The sequence below is a fragment of the Homo sapiens genome, chromosome 7, assembly GCF_000001405.40.
Source record: "Homo sapiens chromosome 7, GRCh38.p14 Primary Assembly".
Classification (NCBI taxonomy): Eukaryota; Metazoa; Chordata; class Mammalia; order Primates; family Hominidae; genus Homo; species Homo sapiens.
Window position 1 is genome coordinate 40,799,904 of NC_000007.14, and position 24,396 is coordinate 40,824,299.

At 39.4% G+C, this 24,396-nt stretch overlaps 1 protein-coding gene across 17 annotated transcripts in view, besides 1 other annotated feature; it reads left to right on the forward strand.

Annotated features, from left to right (window-relative positions):
• SUGCT (succinyl-CoA:glutarate-CoA transferase) overlaps positions 1–24,396 on the forward strand; it is a 903,812-nt gene that overhangs the window by 664,899 nt on the left and 214,517 nt on the right. The gene's annotated exons all lie outside the window — the stretch shown is intronic.
• Positions 15,367–15,867: an enhancer, noted in NCBI's record as "H3K27ac hESC enhancer chr7:40854869-40855369 (GRCh37/hg19 assembly coordinates)". NCBI's record gives its function as "activates a minimal SCP1, AML or CMV promoter by ChIP-STARR-seq in naive and primed H9 embryonic stem cells {active_cell/tissue: H9 hESC(naive and primed)}" and the evidence as "EXISTENCE:reporter gene assay evidence [ECO:0000049][PMID:30033119]".

The following is a 24,396-nucleotide window of genomic DNA, read 5'->3' on the forward strand; positions in this document are numbered from 1 at the left end:
AAATTTTGGAAGGGCTAGATTCCTGAAAAACTGCGAGATTTTATTCAGAATCTTTTTGTAGAAAGGAAAATCCTTTCTTAGCACAAGTGCTACAGTGGCTCCACTCACTGTGGGCCTGGAAAATGACACTGTGCTCCAAGCAGACGTTTGTTTTCATTTCTGACATTCAAAAGTCATTGTCATCAATGTGTAAAGATTTATTCTTGCCTACCCAGCCAAAAAGCAGGACTTACTCTTTTCCCTTTACATAACGTTGGGGGCTGCAGCACTCTGAGGTCATCTTGCTGATGCTCCATGCCTTGGATGATGGGTGTGGCCTTGTTTGAGAGTGGCTGTGGTCTGAGGCAGGAGTGGGGGCAGGGTTGGGGTGTCGTATTCATGACTTTTTTTTTTTTTTTTTTTGAGACAAAGTTTCAGTCTTGTCACCCAGGCTGGAGTGCAATGGCGCAATCTCAGCTCACTGCAACCTCCGCCTCCTGGGTTCAAGTGATTCTCCTGCCTCAGCCTCTCGAGTAGCTGGGATTACAGGCACCCGCCATCACGCCTGGCTAATTTTTTTTGTATTTTTAGTAGAGACGGGGTTTTACCGTGTTGGCCAGGCTGGTCTCAAACTCCTGACCTCAGGTGATCCACCTGCCTCAGCCTTCCAAAGTACTGGGATTACAGGCGTGAGCCACCGCGCCTGGCCCTCATGGCCTTTTAAGGTCTTTGTTATTCATTCTGGATACCACAGAAAGAAGATTCCTGTTATTTTCTGCTACCACTTACTGTAGACTCAAGTTGCTTTATTTCTTTGTTTTCTACCCAGGAAGGTGTACAGGGCATACAGAGGGTTCTATATTGTGTACAGAAGTTGAAGCTATAGTGTTCTTGATTTAATAATAATAATCATAAAGTGTCTACTATACTTCAGGCATTATTTTAAACACTTCACACATATTAATTAACTTAATCACACAATTTGTATCCTAGCCCTATGAGGTAGTAGCTATTATTGCCACCATTTCAGAGATATGGAAACTTGAGACAGACACAGTTAAGTGCCTTGGCTGAGGTCACAGAGCCAGGAAGTGCCACTGCCAGGGTTTGTGTTCCCAGGCACATCCTGACACTGATCTCAAGCAGTCATGCAATGGTGGCAGACAATGTGTTTAATGTGAACCAGATCAACTTGTTCACACAGCAATAGTTCCATTGTGAGTACTAATAGGTAGAAAGAAGAAGATTCCTGCCAGCAAGTGGCTTGATAGTGAAAGTGTGTGAACACTCTCCAGAATAGAGTGAAAGGGATGAAGACCTTCGTTACTTCTACTTCAGCATACACATGAGCCATCCGGGGTATTTAACTTTTCCCCCACCTGCAGAAATGTCTGATTCAGCAAGTCTTAGTGGGATTTGGAAGCTACATTTATGTAAGCAATCCCAAACAATTCAGAACATCTTGTGGGGGGGAGGTCTGAGATGTATCTTGTTAGAGATTTGTGCCTTATTCTCATAGGCTTGGGTTATTTCAAAAAGGATAGAGAGAAAATGTTACCCTAACATCTTGCCAACCAGGATGTTGTGGATGTATCTTGGTAAGAAACTTTACAGTATTCAAAGTACTTCATCTTGAGGGGTAGATTTCACGTGGACAATGAAGAAGGGGTTGGGAGAAGCTGGCAATAGTGAGCCAGTCTAGAATCTTAACCATAAAAATGAAGACTGAGTTTTTTCACAGGAGGATGCCCCTTCTTCTGGGAGGTACAGCAGATGGCAGTGTGTATTTTCTAGAAATAAGTTCAGAATTGAAATCTTGTGGGACATTTCAAATTGGGCTGAACTTTGAACTCATGTTTATATACCTTGGACATAGGAATGGGGGGAAAATAACAACCCTAAAGATGTTTATGTAATATATGGTTTATCACATGTGCTCAGGCCCTCTGGGTCAGGATGTATACATCTAAAAATGCCCTCATAAGTGCATTGGATGAGGATCTGACCCCATAGACCAGCTTATATAGCTCTTGTGAACAAGAAAAAAAATCTGCATCTAGTCTTACATTCTCTTCTAGCAAATGTTAAGCATGGCCACCGAGAAACCCAGTCATTAAAAATGAAAATAAAACAAAAACTATTTCCTATGATGTGAATTTAAAGAACAGACTCTTTTTTTTCCTGAATGGAAACAGTGACTTGAAATGGAGTACAATTAAGCTAAATAAGAGGAAACAGTGAAATTTTGTAGACTATGGAATAGTCTCACTGGGAACATTATGGAAGCCTCATCACTTAGTCATTACAAACTAGACCAGACAAATGAATTGAAGATATGCTGCAAGAAACAATGTCATAGGGAAGGGATAAATGAATTTTTTTTCTCTATCCCCCTGTGGAAATTTCCCCAGTGGTGTCAGCACTCAGACACACACACACACGCACACACCACACACACACACACAGTCACCTTCAAGTTGTCTTCTTGCTGACTTTACAATGTGATCATCACCAAAATGGCATTTAAAACCCCCCAAAGCCTCTTTCTATTTCTGGGTCTACATTTACTGTGTATTCTGATCCCCTGTCTTGTTCATTATGGATAAGATTTTCTGTTAAGATTATAAAAGCCTTACGGTTTCCACTTCGTCATCTTTAAAGCCATGTAAACACCTTCCCCAGCAAAGCCTAGTGATTGCAAGTAGTGAGCGGTAGAACTGAAACCCAATGGAGATGGAAGAGGACAACCCAATTCTGTTCAAATGGTGGTTTACAGAAGCTGTTCACTTCAGCAGGCTCATTTAACTTACCCAACCTAAAAACCACTGAGCCTTCCTTCCATCCCTTGAGTCACATGTGCTTTCTATAGATAGCTGGTAGAAATCACAATATTGAAAAGTCAATTACTTGCATATTTGGAGCTAAAAGTGGGGATTTGAAGTATGACCATCCCCAGTGTTTCTTATTCTATAGAGTGTAGCCTGCACCAGAAAATATATAAATGACCAGATTTTATTCACCGTTTGTTCCATTTTCTATCACTAGCTACAATAAGAAATTCAAATGAAATTTAAAGATTACTGTGGCTATCCATTTAAACACACTATTTTTGATTCCCAGATTATAGGAAATTAGCAATCGGTTGCATGTTTCTTAAAAAAAGCTGTTTACCTATTACAAGTAGTTGATGATAATGGAAAATAATAACACCAATTTTTATCAACTATAATTTTATTTGGAAGACAAGGCTTTTCTATTATACTTCATTCCTTTTCTTGTTGCTCATGGGCAAGATAAAACTAAATTTTCCCTCTTGTCTTATGCAATGTAATAAAAAATAAAATACTAGTAATAGTAATAATGAAAAGTAGCAACCTTTTATAGATCTGTGATATATCCTCACAGATATGTCAGGCCTTGCACCAAGTCCTTCATGGATATTGTTCCATTTTATGCTCACAACAGCTCTCTAAGTAAAATATTCTTATCTTACCGATGGGCAGCTTGATCTTAAGAGAGGTTCAACTGTGCCTAAAATCATGTGAGCATGTGGCAGAGCCAGATTCAAGCCCATTTTTTTCTGACTCCAAAGCCTGTGCCTTTAATTACCTGCCATGTGCCTCAAATTCCTTAAGTCTTAAGGGAATTATTGTATTTCCTATGCCCTCTCTTCCCTCATATTGCATCTTCTTATTCCATCCTCATGAAGGAAACAAGAGTTCACCACCCAAAATAATATTTTTGAACAATTAAAAATAATAGACACAACTACTATTAATTTTACCAGTGATTAAAATGATCACAAAAGTAATATGATCATGCAACTAGACACAAATTCTTTGAGTAACCTAAAGAAATCAAAATTTAAATTTAAATTTCTTTAGGGTTCTTAAAATCAGATAATTGAAAACCATTTCCAGCACATTTGTGCTGTTGCATTTGTCTTTTCAAATGCTAGTTTTATTGAAGACTGTAAAATATATTGTTACAATCTACAGTGGGAAGGACAGTGTGTTGATTACATTACTTTTGGAAGAGGAGGAAACGATTTATATTACTTTTCTACCTGGTCATCTAGAAAGATCAACTTCAAAACCCAAGAAAATTCACTTTCCACATGAAAAGCAGTCTATGGTAGTATGTTGACTAAATGGAGCATGGGGTTTTGAGATGATAGTATTTTATTATTCTTTGTCGCAAAGGGGCTAATCATAATCATCTAGGAATTGATTATCGCCTTACAAAGAAAAGTGTGTGTAAACTTCTTCTTGCCTTCCAAAAGCTTACAAGTTTTGGCAACTTTGTACATCTTGTGCATAAATATAACATTGGGCATAAAACTAAGAGAAGAAATGCTTACAAAAGATTTAAATCAATGCTTACTTGAGCAATACAGCATTGATCTAGTTCTTTTATTTTTCCCTCTTCAGGTATAATAGAATGCAAGTTTCATGAGGGCAGATACTTGGGACTTGTTAATTAACTGCAGTCTCTCTAACATTTAGAAAAGTACCTGACACATAATAGATGCTTAATAAATATCTCTTAGATAATATGAGCTTTAAGAGGAGGAATCATGGGGATGCCACACCTCATCCTGCATCTGTTTATATCTACGAGTTGAAGTAGTGAGGTCATCTACCTTTGTCTTTGTAAGAATATCACTGTCCGGGCCATTACCCTTCTCAGAAAAAAAAAAAAATACTTTCAATGCAATCAGCATTTGTGGATGATTTAAAGATGGAATATCTTAAGTGAAAGCATCTGTTGGAAAACATGATAAGGTACTCAGAGACAAAGTCCTTGTCATTTATATGTTCTGAATGATGCCTAGCTTCCCATAGGTAAACACTGAGACCTAAATTGCCATAATAAAAGATCAGTGCCATTGCCATTAAAATGCACTGTGTTTCTACTATCTTGAGTGCAGAAAAAGAAAAAATGTTGGCATCATAGGGCTGATTCTGCACCCATGTGGAATGATTTAATTCTGTTAATAATGCTAGAAATGTTAAGAAAACATTTGGGGGAGGGAAAGGCAGAATATGGGAACGTGCAAAACCAGCCTTGTTTCATCTGAACTCCAGGATCCTGCGTTTTCCCTTGTTTACTGTACTTATTCTGGATCTGTTTTCACTTTTATTTGTGGTCAGCTTCGATATGTCTACACGAAAGCACACTTCAGAAGTAAAATGACTCTGTCTTTTTACAGTATGACTTCAGACAGTTGGACAGTTTAGGATGCACTGGTTCCTGGATCAATTTTCCCATGCCTGCTTAAGGCATGCTAGTTAATATACTGCAAAGAGAAAAGGCATTGTCTCTAAAGGCACATGAATCCAACCATTGAGCTGGGTTCTGGGTGTACGCCATGCCCTTTGAGCCTCATGCATAGCACCCCAGCCAAATTCTGCCCACCCTCAGAAGTTGAGCCTTATGCATACCACCCCAGCCAAATTCTGCCCCCCGGAAGTTCTCATGCAATTTTCATTGACTATAGTAGGACTCATCTGGGTGTGTCCAAGGGCAGAATCTGGCTGGCTACATGTAACATAATGTTTGGGTTGGGGCATGAGGCCAAAAAAGCATTGTTTACTATTTATATGGGTCTTCACCAATTTCTGGACTCTAAAAGAGATGAACTCACTGCTTCTGAATAATTCATTCATCAAAGCAGACATGAAAAATTTTGTTCCTTGAGTTTAGTTAGAAAGCAAAGCATTTGCTGTTTCACTGTCTGGAAGCCAAAATATGTTTGGGGCTCTCCACTTCAACCCAAGCTGACATTCCCAAGCTGACAGCATCTTAAAGCAAGATGACTTGCTTTCTTGCAAAGAGGCAGGCAATTGTGGCCATGAGGGTATGACAAAGACATTGAGATTGCCTTGAACCTCCCTCAAGGTTTCCTACAAATTTCACGTTCCTGTAAAACATTTGGGGCTAAACTATGGTAGTAGCATAGAATAGGGTGTTGCTCTGACTTGGACTAAAATCATTTGTTTGTGTGTATGTGGAATGCCATCTATGGCACGTTAGAGACAAATGCCAGGAATATGAAACAGTGAGGAGGAAAGGCTCCTTGAAATAGTGCGTGCATCTTAGAAAGCCACCTGGGGAATCTGCTGAGAAGGGATGGCTAGATATACTTTCAAATCCTCAAATATCAAGCATCCAAGTGAAACCCATTAAGTTTGATGAGTTACTCTGTTTGTAAAAGAAAACTAAAAGCTTATAGAAATTTCAAATTTTCAAGTACCTAGGGCTAGATATTCTGTAATAAGTTCCTGCTTTTAAAAAGGGGCGATGTCTAAACTCTGTAACGTTGGTGGAGTTTTGTTCTCAAAGGTTCCCAGGTGGTCCTGAGTAGCCCATTTCAGGGTTTTATCAAACCCTGACATGGGCAAGACTTACAGATGTTCAACCCTAAATCCACCCTGCTTTAAATCTCTTTTATCTTGTTCATATTTATATGAATGTTTAGAGTGAAATCCTCATTAGGAATTTTTTGAACATTGAGATTCAAGTCAGCCTTAGTGTTCCCTTCTCAACCATTATCATTGTAATCTTCCCTGTCAACCTGATTTTCCTCTCTTTGCTTATCTTTTTTACTTTTTTCCCTACATTTTATAACATTAGAGGAATTATGGTGGTTCTGAATGATCTTGTTGTCTTATACCCATCCTTGGTTTTCCTCTCTTCCCCCTTTTATTTGTTTTGTTAGGAAAAACATCATCATGAATATTGATTCTGAAATCAGGTTCTAATTTCCACATATTTGTATTCAGAGTGACTCTACCATTCAACCAAATTTCTTTAACTGGTCCTTCACAATATATTCAATGTAATAGAATATATTAAAATCAATAATATTGGTACAAATGCTGGGATCGGAACCTTGGAATGAACAAATGGGGTCAGCTGAGGTAGAGGCTGGGGGTTTCAACTAGGCTCTACCCAGCTGCCCTGAGGATGAGGGAATCTGTATCTCAGAGGATGCAGCATGGTCTCCATGCAGCTCCATGTGCACAGCACTTGGCAGTCTCTGGCTTCACCTCTTTATATATAAGTTTCCAGACCTATAAAATTAAAATAAGGAGGATATTCACTACCCACCTTCTAAAGTTGTACGATTGAGTGAGTTCATGCATGTAAAGCACTTAACACAATGTTCATTACTCAAAAGATGCTAATTGGTAATAGCAGTAGTGTTAGTAGTGGTAGTAGTAGCAGTAGCAGTTGCAGTAGCTTTATTTCTTTACAGTCCCAGAAGTTAGAGAGAATCATTAAGAAGTTATAGTCCAATGTTATTTACATTTTTCAGAGAACATTTATATTATTTTTTTATTTTTATTTTGAGTTCTGGGGTGCATGTGCAGGATGTACAGGTTTGTCACATAGGTAAACAGGTGCCATGGTGGTTTGTTGCACCTGTCAAACCATCATGCTTAATGTTCTAGAACAAGAAATTTTGACGTGAGGTCTCACAGGATAAAACTGCAATAAACTAAGACAAGTGAGAAGGGGGATGGGTAGAGAAGAGGTTTCCACAGCCCGTAGAGTCTGGAGGCAATTACTCAGTTTCTCCGCAGAAACAGGTGAAAGTGTCCAAGGCCTAGGCTGTACAAATAAAGCAGTCAAAAAGCTGAGATTTAGGAAAGGATGATGGCCCTTGACAAAGCATCTACAGGAAGAAGCTGGACAAACAGAGGCTCAGAACCATGATGAGGCTAACTTGGGGACAGTCTGAGTTATGATGGAAGGGCTATCTGACTACACTGGACATGTCCCATGGTGTATTAGTTAGGGTTCTCTAGAGGCACAGAACTAAGAGGATAGATGTATATATAAAGGGGAGTTTATAAGGTGTACTGACTCACACGATCACAAGGTGAGGTCCCACAATAGGTCATCTGCAAACTGAGGGGCAAGGAAGCCAGTCCGATTCCCAAAGCTGAAGAACTTGGGAGTCCAATGTTTGAGAGCAAGAAGCATCCAGCACAGGAGAAAGATGCAGGCCAGAAGACTAAACCAGTCTAGCCTTTTTATGTTCTTTTGCCTGCTTTTATTCTGGCCTCACTTGTGTGTCTACCCAGATTGAGGGTGGGTGGGTCTGCCTTTCCCAATCTACTGACTCAAATATTAATCTCCTTTGGCAACACCCACATAGACACACCGAGGAACAATACTTTGCATCATTAAATCCAATCAAGTTGACACTCAGTATTAACTATCACACATGGCTACTCCACCCTTACCCTGTTTGTCAATAAGGAAAGCACAAGAGCAGGTGAGGGCAGCCAAGAGACTTGGCAGTGGATTTCAGGCCTGAGAAAGCTGCTTAATTTCAAGGATAACCTGAAGGACTCTGCCCTTGAGACTGGCCCCTGGCCTCACCTGAAGACAGAGGCCATCAGACATCCCAGCAGCGGAAGCCTGGACAGTCTGAATAAATGGGAATAGCCTTCTGGAAAATGAAGAATGCTTGGATTTGCAAGAACTGTATTCAGCCAAGGCTGGATTATCTGCAAAGAGGTATGCATATGCTTGGGCACTGTCTCCTCCCTCACAGCCCAACTGGTCCACTTCCAGCCATGCTCCCTGGGGACATTGCCTCCATTCCCCAAGACTTACTCTTCTGCAGTTTCACAAAGCCCAGTTGGTTTAAATTCTTTGTCCTTCCATTGTCCAAACCTAATAAGGAAGTCAGTCAGCTGTGGGTTGGGATAAGGAACTGGTTGGTGGTAAGGAAGAACATTCCTCCAAGGGCCTTTTGATCTTTAAGAGGCAATAAGTTGCCCCATTCCCTGCTTTTATACAAAAATATCTCTTGTGTGTGTCATTCAGACAGATTGTTTTCCTTCCCATGAATGTAATTGTTGTCTCTTGGAGATTTTATGAGAAACAGAATTCAGGCCATTCCAGAGTTAGGCAGAAGAGGAAAGCATATGACTTTATCTTGCTCACTTCCCAGACTTGTCCTTTTACTTGTTAATATTTGTCTCCAGGAGTCATATATTTCAATGACAAGGCAAAATACCCCCAGACAATTCATGCCTGTTCCTGACTCTGTACCTAACGAACTGTGGACCTTGGTCAAACATTTTATACTGTTGGGCCTCGGTTTTCTCATCTGGAAACTTGGGAAGTTGGACTGGACAAGATAAATTTGGCAGGTAGTGGGTTATTGCTATCAAAAACATGGATTTTGCAAATTAACATACCTGATTTTCAACCCTAGTTCTGTTACTTGCAAAGATGACTCAAATGCAGCAGAGCCTCAGTTTTCTCTTATAAACAAGGTTGTTATGAAGATTACATAAAATAATGCTTGTGAAGTGCTTAATACTACCTGAATATTGTAAGTGCTAAGTCAGCTTTAGCTCATATTTGGTGTTTCCATCTATGATTTTTCCTTCTGAAGTAAACTTTACAATATCTGTTATTTTTTACCATATATGCCAATGATATTTTCTATTAGTGTGGGCAAATCAAAATGGGCAATGGTAACACTATATTTTATTCTATATATACAAGTGTGTGTGTGTGCTCTCTCTTTCACACACACGTACACACACCCAAAAAAGTAACTTATTTTTCTACCATCAGCAGAATCTAGAATTAACTTAAAGAGGTTACTTTAACCTAGTATGGTTAAAGAAGTACCATACTAGGTTTTGGTTCCTCAAGCTCTTTCACAAATCCTTCCTTTTGAGTCAACAGCTCATGAAGATAGTAGGTCAATGTTTTTTTCAACTTGTATTTTAGATTCAGGGGGTATATGTGCAGGTTTGTTATCTGGGTATGTTGTGTGATGCTGAGGTTTGGGATATGAATGATCCCATCACCCAGGTACTGAGCATAGTACTCAACAGTTAGTTTTTTAGCCCTTGTCAACCTCCCTACCCTCTCTAGTAGCCCCCAGTTTCTATTGTTGCCATATGTTCCTGAGTACCCAATGTTTGGCTCCCACTTATTTATATGTGAGAACATATGGTATTTGGTTTTTTTGTCCTGACATTAATTTGCCTAGCATAATAGCCTCCAGCTGCATCCATGTTGCTGCGAAGTACATGATTTCATTCTTTTTTATGTCTATGTAGTATTCCATGGTGTATATATACCACATTTTCTTGATCTAATCCATCTTTCATAGGCACCTAGGTTGATTCCATGACTTTGCTATTGTGAATAGTTCTGTGATGAACATATGAGCACATCTGTCTTTTTGGTAGAATGATTTCTTTTCTTTTTTTTTTTCTTTGAGACAGGGTCTGGTTTGGTCACCCAGGCTGGAGTGCAATGGCACAATCATGGCTCACTGTAGCCTCAACCTCCCAGGCCCAAGCAATCCTCCCACCTCAGCCTCCCAAGTAGATTTATTTTCTTTTGGATACATACCTAGTAATGGGATTGCTAGGTCAAATGGAAGCTCTGGTTTTAGGTCTTTGAGAAATCTCCAAACTGCTTTCCACAGTGGCTGAACTAATTTACATTCCCGCCAACAATGTATAAATGTTCCTTCTTCTCTGCAGCCTCACCAGCATCTGTTGTTTTTTGACTCTAATAATAGCCATTCTGACTGGTGTGAGATAGTATCTTATTGTGGTTTTGATTTGCCTTTCACTGATGATTAGTGATGTGGAGCATTTTTTCATATGTTTGTTGGCCACTTGTATGTCTTCAACAGATGTGTCTGTTGCTGTCTTTTGCCCATTTTTTAATGGGGTTATTTGTATTTTACTTGCTCAAATGTTTATGTTCCTTATAGATTCTAGGTATTAGACCTTTGTTGGATGTGTAGTATGTGAATATTTTCTCCCATTCCATAGGTCATCTGTTTATTCTGTTGATATTTCTTTTGCTGTGCAGAAGCTCTTATTTTAATTAGGTCCCACTTTTCAATTTTTGTTTGTGTTGCAATTGCTTTTGAGGACTTAATTATAAATTATTTCCCAAATGCAATGTCTAGAATGGCATTTCCTGTTTTCTTGTAGGATTGTTATAGTATGAGGTCTTACATTTAAATCTTTAATCCATCTTGAGTTAATTTTTGTATATCGTGAAAGGTAGGGTTCCAGTTTCATTCTTCTGTATATGGCTAGACAACTATCCCAGTTCCAGGTATTGAATAGGGAATCCTTTCCCCATTGCTTATTTTAGTTAACTTTGAGGAAGATCAGATGGCTATAGGTATGCAACTTTATTTCTGCATTCTGTATTCTGTTCCATTGTTCTATATTTCTGTTTTTGTACCAATACCATGCTGTTTTTGTTAGTTACTGTAGCCTTATAATATAGTTTGAAGTCACGTAATGTGATGCCTCCAGCTTTGTTCCTTTTGCTTGGCTTACTTTGGCTATTTGGGCTCTTTTTTGGTTCCATATGAACTTTAGAATAGTTTTTTCTTCTCTTCTGTGAAAAATGATGTTGATAGTTTGATAGGAATGGCATTGAATATGTAGATTGCTTTGGGCTCTATGGTCATTTAAATGATACTGATTCTTAGAATCCGTGAGTATGGAATATTTTTTCATTTGTTTGTTTAATGTATGATTTCTTTTAGCACTGTTTTATAGTTCTCCTTGTAGAGCTCTTTTTTGTCCTTGGTTAGATGTAGTCTTGGGTATTTTGTTTGTGTGTGGTGGTTTTTGTAAATGGGATTATTTTCTTGATTTGGCTCTCAGCTTGAACATTATTGGTGTATAGAAATGCTGCTGATTTTTGTACATGGATTTTGTGTCCTGAAACTTTAGTGAACTTGTTTATCAGTTTCAGGAGCCTGTGATGGAGTTTTTTGGGTTTTCTAGGTGTAGAATCATACCGTCCTTAAAGAGAGATAGTTTGACTACTTTTCTTATTTGGATATATTTTATTTCTTTGTCTTGCCTGATTGCTCTGGCTAGCATTTCCAGTACTGTATTGAATAGGAGTGGTGAGAGTAGACATCCTGGTCTTGTTCCAGTTCTCAAGGGGAATGCTTCCAGTTTTTGCTTGTTCAGTATGAGGTTGGCTGTAGGTTTGTCATAGATGGCTATGACTATTTTGATGTATGTTCATTCAATGCCAAGTTTCTTGAGGGTTTTTGTCATGAAGGGATGTTGGATTTTTTTGAAAGCTTTTTCCATGGAGATCATATGGTTTTTGGTTTTGATTTTATGTTTATGTGGTGAAGCACATTTATTGATTTGTGTATGTTGAGTCAACCTTGCATCCTAGCAATGAAGCCTACTTGATCATGGCAAATTAACTTTTTTTGTGTCCTGTTGGATCTGGTTTGCTAATATTTTGTTGATGATTGGCCTGTGGTTTCATTTTTTGTTGTGTCTTTGCCAGGTTTTGGTATCAGGGTGATGTTAGATTCATAGAATGGGACCACAGTCATTGATTTTTTGGGGATAGTTTCAGTAGAATTGGTACCATCTCTTCTTTGTACATCAGGTAGAATTCAGCTGTGAATTCATCTGGTCTGGGGCTTTTTCTGATTGGTAGTTTTTAAAATTATTGCTTCAATTTCAGAACTTGATATTGGTCTGTTTGGGGTTTCAACTTCTTCCTGATTCGATTTTGGGAGGTTATGTGTTTCCAGAAATTTATTCATTTTCTCTAGTTTTTTTCTAGTTTGCACGCATAGAGGTGTGCATATTAGTCTCTGAGGATCTTTTGTATTTCTATGAGATCAGTTGTAATGTCACCTTTGTCATTTCTGATTGTACATATTTGGATCTTCTCTCTTTTTTTTGTTAATCTAGCTAGCAGTCTATTGATCTTGTTTATCCTTTCAAAGAACCAACTTTGGATTTTACTAATTCTTTGTTTGGATTTTGGGGTCTCAGTTTTGTTTGGTTCTGCCTTGATTTTAGTTATTTATCTGCTAGATTAGGGGTTAGTTTGTTCCTGTTTCTCTACTTCCTCTAGGTGTGAGATTAGATTGTTAATTTGAGATCTTTCTAACCTTTTGAGGTAGGTTTTTAGTGCTATAAACTTTCCTCTTATCACTGTTTTTGCTATGTCCCAGAGATTTTGGTAGGTTGTGACTCTATTTTCATTTATTTCAAATAATTTTTTGATTTCTGCCTTAATTTCATTATTTAATCAGAAGTCATTCAGGGGCAAGTTCTTTCATTTGCCCTTGGCTTTGAGAGGTCTTCTTCGTACTGATTTCTAATTTTGTTCCACTGTAGTCCCAGAGTGTGGTTGGTTTGATTTTGATTTTTTAAAAAAATTATTGAGACTTGCTTTATGGACAAGCATGTGGTCAATCTTAGGTAAGTTCCATGTATAGATGAGAAGAATGTATCATCTGTGGTAATGAATGGCATATTTTGTAGATGTCTTTTGGGTCCATTTGGTCAACTGTGAAATTTAAGTCCAGAATTTCTTTGTTAGTTTTCTGCCTTGATTATTTGTCTAATGCTGTCAGTGAGATGTTGAAGTTCCCCACTATTATTGTGTGGCTGTGTACATCTTTTCATATGTCTAAAAGTACTTGTTTTATGAATCTGGGTGGTCCAATGTTGGATGTATATATATTTAGGATAGTTAAATCTTCTTATAGAATTGAACTCTTTATCATTATGTAATGCCTGTCTTTGTCCTTTTTTACTGTTGTTGGTTTAAAGTATATTGTGGCTGATATAAAGATGGGAAGCAACTTGTGCTCTCTTTTTGCCTTCTTTTGTGTGGTGGATCTTCCTCCAAGTCTTTACTTTGAGCCTATGGGTGTGTAAGATAGCCTTATGTGTAAGATAGGTCTCTTGATGACAATAGATGGATGGGTATTATTTATCCAACTTGCCACTCTTTGCCTTTTAAGTGAAGCATTTAGACCATTTACATTCTAGGTTAATATTGATAGATGAGGTTTTGATCCTATCGAGAAATTGTTAGTTGGTTGCTTTGTAGTTTCTATTGTGAGGCTGCTTGATAGGGTCTGTGGGCTATGTCCTTAAGTGTGTTTTTGTGGTAGCAGTTTTCATTATTTCATTTCTATGTTTAGAACTCTCTTAAGGAACTGTTGTAAGACTTGTCTAGTGGTAATGAATTCCTTTAGCATTTGCTTGCCCGGAAAAGATTTTCCCTTCACTTATGAAGCTTAGTTTGGTGGGATATGAAATTCTTGGTTGGAACTCTTTTTCCTTAGGAATGCTGAAAATAGGCCCCCAATCTCTCCTGGCTTATAAGGTTTATGCTGAGAAGTCCACTGTTAGCCTGATGGGGCTCCCTTTGTAAGTGAGCTGCTTTTAAGATTTTTTTCTTTAGTGTCGACCTCGGATAGCCTAGTGACTGTATGCCTTGATGACAGTCATTTTGTGTAGTATCTGGCAGGTGTTCTCTGGATTTCTTGTATCTGGATGTGTACCTCTCTAGCAAGATAAGGGAAATTTTCTTGAATGATTTCCTCAAATTTTTTTTTCCAGGTTATTTACTCTTTCTCCTTCTGTCTCAGGAATGCCAATCATTTGTAAGTTTGGTCACTTTACATAATATTTCTTGACAACTTTATTCATTTTTTAAAATTATTTTTTTCTTTATTTTTGTCTGACTTGGTTAGTTTGAAAGACCAGTCTTCAGGCTCTGAAATTCTTTCTTCTGCTTGGTCCAGTCTATTGATAAATCTGTCAATTATATTTTGAAATTCCTTAAGTGAGGTTTTAAATTCCAGAAGCTCTGTTTGATTTTTTTTTTAAAGATGTTTACCTCTTCCTTCATTTCCTTGATTGCTTTAGAAGTTTCTTTGTGTTGATGTTCAACCTTGTCTTGGAGGTTGAGCTTCCTTGCAATCCATGCTTTCAAATCTGTCATTTCTGAGTTTCCATTTTTGTCAGGAGCCATTGCTGGAGAGCTAGTGTGATCCTTTGATGCTGTCACCACATTCAAATTCCTCATGGTGCCAGAATTCTTGCAGTGGTTCCTTCTCATCTGGAGATGCTAGCACTTCTAATTTTTATAATTATTTTAGTGTGGGTAGGATTTTTCTTTTTCTTTCTTGCCTATAATATTATTTTTTTCTTTACCATTCCCTCCCTTCCTAGGTGATGTGACTGTAGAGAATGCTGGGTAGGGTCTTTTGGCTTTGTTTCTATAGCCCCATGCACTTCTGATGGCAGGTTTTATATTGGGCTCTGCAGTTTGACCTACAAGCTTGTAGATGGCGCTTATAGGTAAGAGCCAGCTGCAGCCAACATGGTTGGATATATACTTGATCCTTGCTTACTAGGAGAAGCCCTCTGTTTCCTCAGGCAATGGGCTAAGCTGTGGAGTGCACAGTGGTCTGAGCTCCCTCCTCAGCCCTGTGGGGTTGGGGGCCAAGATGGGCAGGGCTAGACCAGGCAGGTCCTCCTCCAGGGGCCCCGATGGCAGGCATGAGCACCAGTGCTGAGGGTGGGTACAGTGAGCAGCCACTGAGCACCCAGAGGTGTGCCTAGGCATGGTGCTGGGAAACCTCCTTGGCCTAAGTTCTCTATGTGGGACTGAGGGGTAGTTTAAACTCCTAGGAGAATAGGTACTCCAGATGCCTGGAGGTCTGCCTGGTTATGGGGTAGAGAGGGCCCCTTGCACCCAGGATCTCTGCACAAGAAGGCTGGGGAAGTTTAGGCCACTGTTCCAGTTGGGTGGGTGATGTGAATGCCTGGAGATGTGCCTGAGTGTGGAGCAGAGAAGGTCTCCCTACACCAAGTTCTCTGCTCGGGAGGGGCAGGATGACTAAGGCAAGCATCCTGGAGATTTGCCTGGGCATGGAGCAGAAAGGGCCTCTCTGCATCTGGATCTCTGCATAGGAAGGGTGGGGTAGTTCAGGCTGCTGAACTAAATGAGTGGGTGCTCTAAATGCCTGGAGATTTGCCTGCATGTGAAGCAGAGAGGGCCTCCCTGTACCAGGATCTCTGCACAGGAAGGATGGGGCATGTCAGGCTGCTGATACAGGTGAGTGGGTGCTCTGAATGCCTGGATGTCTGCCTGTGAATGGAGCGGCAAGAGCTCTGCTGTACCACAGTCTATGCCCAGGAAGGGTGGTGCGGCTCAGGCTGCGAAACCACACAAGTGGGTGCTCCAAATGCCTGGATTTCTGCCTGAGGGTGAAATGGAGAGTGCCCTGCTATACCACAATCTCAGAGGAGCAAGCTGGGGCACCCAGCAATGGTAGATGCAGACCAGTTCCACGTTGCCAAGCTGGCAAGTCTCACTGCCCAAGAGAAACTACAGCTGTAGCAGCTCTCCTTCTGCCTGAGGCTTGCAATGTGAGGAGCACAATTCTAGCACCTACTGCTGAGGTGCCTTCTACAGTTCGGGCTGTGGAGGCCCCTACCCCACTCCAAAGCAAGTCTTGCTCCAGCCTCTGGTCCAAGACTAAAATACCAACACAGTCATGCTGCTAGGTCAGCAAAGAATTCTTGACTTTATGTGGTCCTGCATTAAAAATGGCACCCTGCTCTTGGTCCTAGGCTAGCCTGGGGAAAATGTATTGAGCTTTTTGTGGTGTCTTTCTCTTACAACATCTTCAATCCTTTCCCCAAGTTAGCACTAGGGCTTGGGAGAAACAAAGTGTTCCCCCTTGGCCTGGGTTGCTTGGATCTCCACTGGAAAGGTGAGCTTCAGAGGGAGGCTTTCTGCCTCTCTCATGTACTGGGGTTTTACTCATTTTTATCAGCCAGACACCATCACAGGGGCTGTTTGCTGGCATTTTTCTCCCTGGATTCTGGTTTGTTCTTCAAGATTCCAGTAGATTCCTATTTTCCTTCTTGAATGAAAGTTCACAGAGTTGATCTTTATGCATTGTCTTGCTATCTCCAAGTGGCTGAGGCAAACTAAAAGCCTCTCATCTGCCATCTGGGATGGGGTGGGGTAGTTGGTCAATTTTAAGGCTAAAGAGGTTACTAAGGTTATTCTTTAGCAAGCCCATTGTATGCAAAGTAAAGGCCTCTGTACATATGGAATGAACAGAATCTTAATAGGTGAAGTTATCACAACTCTGCAATATTAGCTATGGCCATTAACTCCAGAACCAGGGCTTGGTTTGGTAGGAGTATACAAGTGAGAAGTCAAATAAGAGTTGCATGAAGATATTGTAAAGAAAGAGTATAAGAAGATGATGAGAATAGAGTTAAGTTAAAAGTGTTTGTCTGTAGTGTCTTTGGGGAGAAGTTTGGAGATTACAAACCAACACTTCTATTGTCCAATATCACATTTCCCATTCTTAGTTGAGTTGGTTTTGATATAATTTGAAGGCTGGATCTTCTTCATTTTTGTGTATGGTACAGGCAATTCTGACTTTTTACTTATTTATCCACTCAAAAAATAGTAGTAAGTACCTATAGTTGGCCAGCATTGTGTTAGATTTTAAAACTGGTCCTCTACCCATGGGGAACTTACATTTTTGGAGGAGACAGATGAGAAAGTCAACCCTCTCAGTACAATAGGTGGTTCTTTGAAAGAGGTATTCAGTAGATACTATGAGAACACAGAGCAGGAACACCCAAGTCACTGGGGAGTCGGGGGAAAAAACCCTGAATAAGCAGTGATAGAGGCCGGGAGTAGTGAAGACATACTGGAGAGAAGTTAAATCATGGAGTAAGTAAGAATAGTGACTGGACTTAGAATCAGGTTACTCACTGGGGGATTTAGGATAACAATTATATCAACTATTGATGGAAGGAATACAAGACAAAGAGCTATTTTATGCAAAATAATGATAATTTTTGTCTTAACCATGTGGAATTTGAGGATCTTGTGGTACATCCAAAAGAAGATAAGGTATCCAGCAAACAACTGTCATTAGGATTCAAATGGAGGTTGGAGCCATGAACATATATATAGTTCTTCAGACAGAGTATATAGACTGAACAAAAGTAGGCAATGGGATGCCTGAGGAAGAACCATTTTTAAGGGTTGAAATGAGTAAATAGAGATGGCAGGAAGGAAGAGAAGAAATAGCTTCATTAGTAGAAGGAACATCTGGAAGAGTTGTATTACATAAGCCGAGAGAGAGAACTTCTAGAAGGAGGTAGTGATCTGCAGAGTCAAATATTACACATGTAATATAATGGTTGCTAGGTGGGCTTTTTGCTAGCTAAGAAATGTTCATTCAGGTTCTCTTGACAAAGAAATCAAGAAATCAATTTGCTTAATTATAACTATACACTCAGAAAATGAAGTAGACAGAAACTCTACTCATGCAACCAGGTTCTGAGAGAATAGGAACCAAGGAATGCCAGGCCTCATAAAGAATGGACTGCAGTTCAGAAACTAGGAGCTCAGGATATAACGCAACTCTTGCAATCAGGATATTTTGTTACATCCTCAATAGGAGGTGCACCCTGGTCTGTCTACAGGCAGTCTGCCATCAACCTAATTCTTTGTTACTCTATGGAGGTCTACACACCTTGGATGCACTTCCATATTACCATCTCTAGACCAGCTCTTTCAAGAGAGAATCTGATTGGCCTAGTTTATCCCCATGTTTCTAATTAGAGAGGGACCTCATAGTCCATAGATTGGTAGCTATTGAATCACTTGTGTTGCCTCACCCCCCTGGGGCCCAGTCAGCTGTAGCCAGGGAAACAAAGTAATATGGTACCCAGAACATGACTACTTCTTCATAAAGAACTGGTAAGGACTGCTTTCCTCAAAAAGGGGCAGTGGCTGTGGAAGATGCTTCATGTTTTAAAGCCTGTATCATGGACATTAATAATGTAGAAGTATATGTGTACCTGTGAGAGTATCTTCAACACTGGAGATAAACACTGGAATTGGGATCTTAATGGATTGAAGAGTAAATGGGAAGTGAGCCAGTGGAGGCAGGGAATATAGATGAATCTTTGCAGGAAGGAGGGTAAGAGATACAGTACCACAGCAAATAGGAAATTTGTTTCCAAGGTAACATTATCTTTTTTTAAATATACTTTAAGTTCTAGGGTACATGTGCACAACATGCAGGTTTGTTACATATGCATACATGTGCCATGTTGGTGTGCCGCACCTATTAACTCATCATTTACATTAGGTATATCTCCTAATGCTATCCCTCCCCCCTCCCCCCACCCCACAACAGGCCCCAGTGTGTGATGTTCCCCATCCTGTGTCCAAGTGTTCTCATTGTTCACTTCCCACCTATGAGCGAGAACATGTGGTGTTTGGTTTTCTGTCCTTGCAATAGTTTGCCGAGAATGATGGTTTCCAGCTTCGTCCATGTCCCTACAAAGGACATGAAATCCTTTTTTATGGCTGCATAGTATTCCATGGTGTATATGTGCCACATTTTCTTAATCCAGTCTATTGTTGATGGACATTTGGGTTGGTTCCATTGGTCTTTGCTATTGTGAATAGTGCCGCAATAAACATATATGTGCATGTGTCTTTATAGCGGCATGATTTATAATCCTTTGGGTATATACCCAGTAATGGTTTGGCTGGGTCAAATGGTATTTCTAGTTCTAGATCCTTGAGAAATCACCACACTGTCTTCCACAATGGTTGAACCAGTTTACAGTCCCACCAACAGTGTAAAGGTGTTCCTATTTCTCCACATCCTCTCCAGCACCTGTTGTTTCCTGATTTTTTAATGATCGCCATTCTGACTGGTGTGAGATGGTATCTCATTGTGGTTTTGATTTGCATTTCTCTGATGGCCAGTGATGCTGAGCATTTTTTCATGTGTCTTTTGGCTGCATAAATGTCTTCTTTTGAGAAGTGTCTGTTCATATCCTTCACCCACTTTTTGATGGGGTTGTTTGATTTTTTCTTGTAAATTTGTTTAAGTTCTTTGTAGATTCTGGATATTAGCCCTTTGTCAGATGGGTAGATTGTAAAAATTTTCTCCCATTCTTTAGGTTGCCTGTTCACTCTGATGGTAGTTTCTTTTGCTGTGCAGAAGCTCTTTAGTTTAATTAGATCCCATTTGTCAATTTTGGCTTTTGTTGCTGTTGCTTTTGGTGTTTTAGTCATGAAGTCCTTGCACATGCCTACAGCCTGAATGGTATTGCCTAGGTTTTCTTCTAGGGTTTTTATGGTTTTAGGTCTAACATTTAAGTCTTTAATCTATCTTGAATTAATTTTTGTATAAGGTGTAAGGAAGGGATCCAGTTTCAGCTTTCTACATATGGCTAGCCAGTTTTCCCAGCACCATTTATTAAATAGGGAATCCTTCCCCCATTTCTTGTTTTTGTCAGGTTTGTCAAAGAACATATTGTTGTAGATGTGTGGTATTATTTCTGAGGGCTCTGTTCTGTTCTGTTCCATTGGCCTATATCTCTGTTTTGGTACCAGTACCATGCTGTTTTGGTTACTGTAGCCTTGTAGTATAGTTTGAAGTCAGGTAGCGTGATGCCTCCAGCTTTGTTCTTTTGGCTTAGGATCGTCTTGACAATGTGGGCTCTTTTTTGGTTCCATATGAACTTTAAAGTAGTTTTTTTCCAATTCTGTGAAGAAAGTCATTGGTAGCTTGATGGGGATGGCACTGAATCTATAAATTACCTTGGGCAGTATGGCCATTTTCACGATATTGATTCTTCCTATCCATGAGCATGGAATGTTCTTCCATTTGTTTGTGTCCTCTTTTATTTCGTTGAGCAGTGGTTTGTAGTTCTCCTTGAAGAGGTCCTTCACATCCCTTGTAAGTTGGATTCCTAGGTACTTTATTCTCTTTGAAGCAATAGTGAATGGGAGTTCACTCATGATTTGGCTCTCTGTTTGTCTGTTATTGGTGTATAGGAATGCTTGTGATTTTTGCAGATTGATTTTGTATCCTGAGACTTTGCTGAAGTTGCTTATCAGCTTAAGGAGATTTTGGGCTGAGACAATGGGGTTTTCTAAATATACAATCATGTCATCTGCAAACAGGGACAATTTGACTTCCTCTTTTCCTAACTGAATACCCTTTATTTCTTTCTCCTGCCTGACACCCGGCCAGAACTTCCAACACTATGTTGAATAGGAGTGGTGAGAAAGGGCATCCCTGTCTTGTGCCAGTTTTCAAAGGGAATGCTTCCCATTTTCGCCCATTCAGTATGACATTGGCTCTGGGTTTGTCATAAATAGCTCTTATTATTTTGAGATACGTCCCATCAATACCTAGTTTATTGAGAGTTTTTAGCATGAAGGGCTGTTGATTTTTGTCAAAGGCCTTTTCTGCATCTATTGAGATAATCATGTGGTTTTTGTCTTTGGTTCTGTTTATATGCTGGATTATGTTTATTGATTTGCATATGTTGAGCCAACCTTGCATCCCAGGGATGAAGCCCACTTGATCATGGTTGATAAGCTTTTTGATGTGCTGCTGGATTCAGTTTGCCAGTATTTTATTGAGGATTTTTGCATCAATGTTCATCAGGGATGTTTGTCTAAAATTATCTTTTTTTTGTTGTGTCTCTGCCAGGCTTTGGTATCAGGATGATGCTGGCCTCATAAAATGAGTAGGGAGGATTCCCTCTTTTTCTATTGATTGGAATAGTTTCAGAAGGAATGGTACCAGCTCCTCCTCGTACCTCTGGTAGAATTCAGCTGTGAATCCGTCTGGTCCTGGACTTTTTTTGGTTGGTAGGCTATTAATTATTGCCTCAATTTTAGAGCCTGTTATTTGTCTATTCAGGGATTCAACTTCTTCCTGGTTTAGTCTTGGGAGGGTGTATGTGTCCAGGAAGTTATCCATTTCTTCTAGATTTTCTAGTTTATTTGCGTAGAGGTGTTTATAATATTCTTTGATGGTAATTTGTATTTCTGTGGGATCGGTGGTGATATCCCCTGTATCATTTTTTATTGCATCTGTTTGATTCTTCTCTCTTTTCTTCTTTACTAGTCTTGCTAGCGGTCTGTCAATTTTGTTGATCTTTTCAAAAAACCAGCTCCTGGATTCATTGATTTTTTTGAAGGGTTTTTTGTGTCTCTATCTCCTTCAGTTCTGCTCTGATTTTAGTTACTTCTTGCCTTCTGCTAGCTTTTGAATGTGTTTGCTCTTGCTTCTCTAGTTCTTTTGATGTGATGTTAGGGTGTCAATTTTAGATCTTTCCTGCTTTGTCTTGTGGGCATTTAGTGCTATAAATTTCCTCTACACACTGCTTTAAATGTGTCCCAGAGATTCTGGTATGTTGTGTCTGTGTTCTCATTGGTTTCAAAGAACATCTTTATTTCTGCCTTCATTTCATTATGTACCCAGTAGTCATTCAGGAGCAGATTGTTCAGTTTCCATGTAGTTGAGCGGTTTTGAGTGAGTTTCTTCATCCTGAGTTATAGTTTGATTGCACTGTGGTCTGAGAGACAGTTTGTTATAATTTCTGTTCTTTTACATTTGCTGAGGAGTACTTTACTTCCGACTATGTGGTCAATTTTGTAATAAGTGCGATGTGGTGCTGAGAAGAATGTATATTCTGTTGATTTTGGGTGGAGAGTTCTATAGATGTCTATTAGGTCCGCTTGGTGCAGAGCTGAGTTCAATTCCTGGATATCCTTGTTAACTTTCTGTCTCGTTGATCTGTCTAATATTGACAGTGGGGTGTTAAAGTCTCCCATTATTATTGTGTGGGAGTCTAAGTCTCTTTGTAGGTCTCTAAGGACTTGCTTTATGAATCTGGGTGCTCCTGTGTTGGGTGCATATATATTTAGTATAGTTAGCTCTTCTTGTTGAGTTGATCCCTTTACCATTATGTAATGGCCTTCTTTGTCCCTTTTGATCTTTTGTTGGTTTAAAGTCTGGGTAACATTGTCTTTTAAGATAGAAGATACTTCACCCTAGTTATATTGTAATAGGAAAGAGAAATTGCATATGTAGGGGAGAAAATGATTGATAGACTGAGGTCCCTGAGGAGCTGCAAGGGAACCTTGTAGAGCACTGTTTTTTACCTTACTCACACGTACACTCATCAGTGGACTCTCCTATCTGAGGTAATCTCATATTGTTGAACGTGGAGAAATCCTGAAAGAGATATGGGGAAGGAATAAATTGAAAATGAGAGTGTTAAGGAAATGGGGAAATACTATGGGAGTTGGCAGCTAGAAACACAAGTTAGGAAAGGAAAGAGTGGGAAATTCAGAGAAAGTGAAGAATCAGTAAGCAAGAGTTTGACTAAATATTCCGAAGGGATAGGTTATAAGTCCTCCTGGGTGTTCTGATGACTCCAAGGGCTGCTTATTTATTTTGCTGCAAGGAAAAAGCCACAAGCATGCCTTGATTGTGATGTCCCTCATAACTCACTACCATAGCAGGCAAACCCTCAGGTATTCTAGAGCTTTTTGTTTTGCATCAGTAAATATTTGCTGCCATTGTATCATCTTAGTAATGATTTACCATACATCCTATTTGAATTTCATGGAGCAACCCCCTTAAATAACTTTTAATACCAGAGATAATCCCAGTGGCTAAGTCAATTAGATCTTAAAAATAGAACCTTTGTTAAAAGGTCACTCCGATTTCTCTTCTGGTGTTGGGTTCTGACACTGATAAATTGTCCCCAGACTCCTCTCTTAACATCTTAGGTTAAGACTGTCTCTACTACATACATACACCAGAAGCACTGAGATTTTTTTTTTCATTTAAAAATAGATCCAAAGGCAAACATATTTAAAGTGGATTTCCTACTATGGCGATTTCAAAACCTAACACTGGAGAATGAAGGTGGTAACTGTCGTTTCACATGTGTACTCAGCAAATGCAATTTCTACTACCATAGTTTTCCTTTTCCTCCACCTAACTCTACTACACTGCTTATTATAAACAGTAGTTGGAAGGGGTAGATTTTATAAGCATTTGGGATGTGCATTTTCATCCTTGAGTAGAAAATGGACCTCTTAAAAATTTTCATTTACTTTTCTTTCCTTTCCTCTTCCTTCTCCTTTTTTGAGAAGGAAAAATGAAAAAAAGTATTTGAAAAGAAATTAAGAGGTGGCATGTATACTTAAATTTTTATTTCCCTTAAGTTTCAAATCTGGGATTCAAATAGCGACAGACTTAAGAGAAGGGCCTGGCATCACTCCTAGTCCCACGAAATTGTCCTACTGCCTCTTGACAGAGTTAAGGCCATTTGTCTCCTGGTTTTAATCTTATTGCTAAATAATAGCTAACGTTTAATGATTACCTAGTAGGTTCCAAGTATCAGGGATAAAAAATGAATAAGCACTGGTTCTTTTCCTAAAAGAACTCACACTGTAGTGGTGATGACTGGGGAGTGGCTAGATTAATGCAACAATTTAGGGAAAGTGGAAGTCAGAAGGAGAGAAAATGACAGTGAGCAGTGGATGAAAAATTTCTCCCTTTCTCTCATTCAGGTTCATGACAAGTAGCTAGCTAAATCCTCAAATTAATTCACTCTATGACTTCAGAGGGCAAACCATATTCCTTGCTCAAAAAAAAAAACAAAAAACAAAACTCATTAAGGAAAGAAATTTGTCTATAGCAGTAAAGCTGATGGATGTTCTTAAAATCCAAAGAATCTT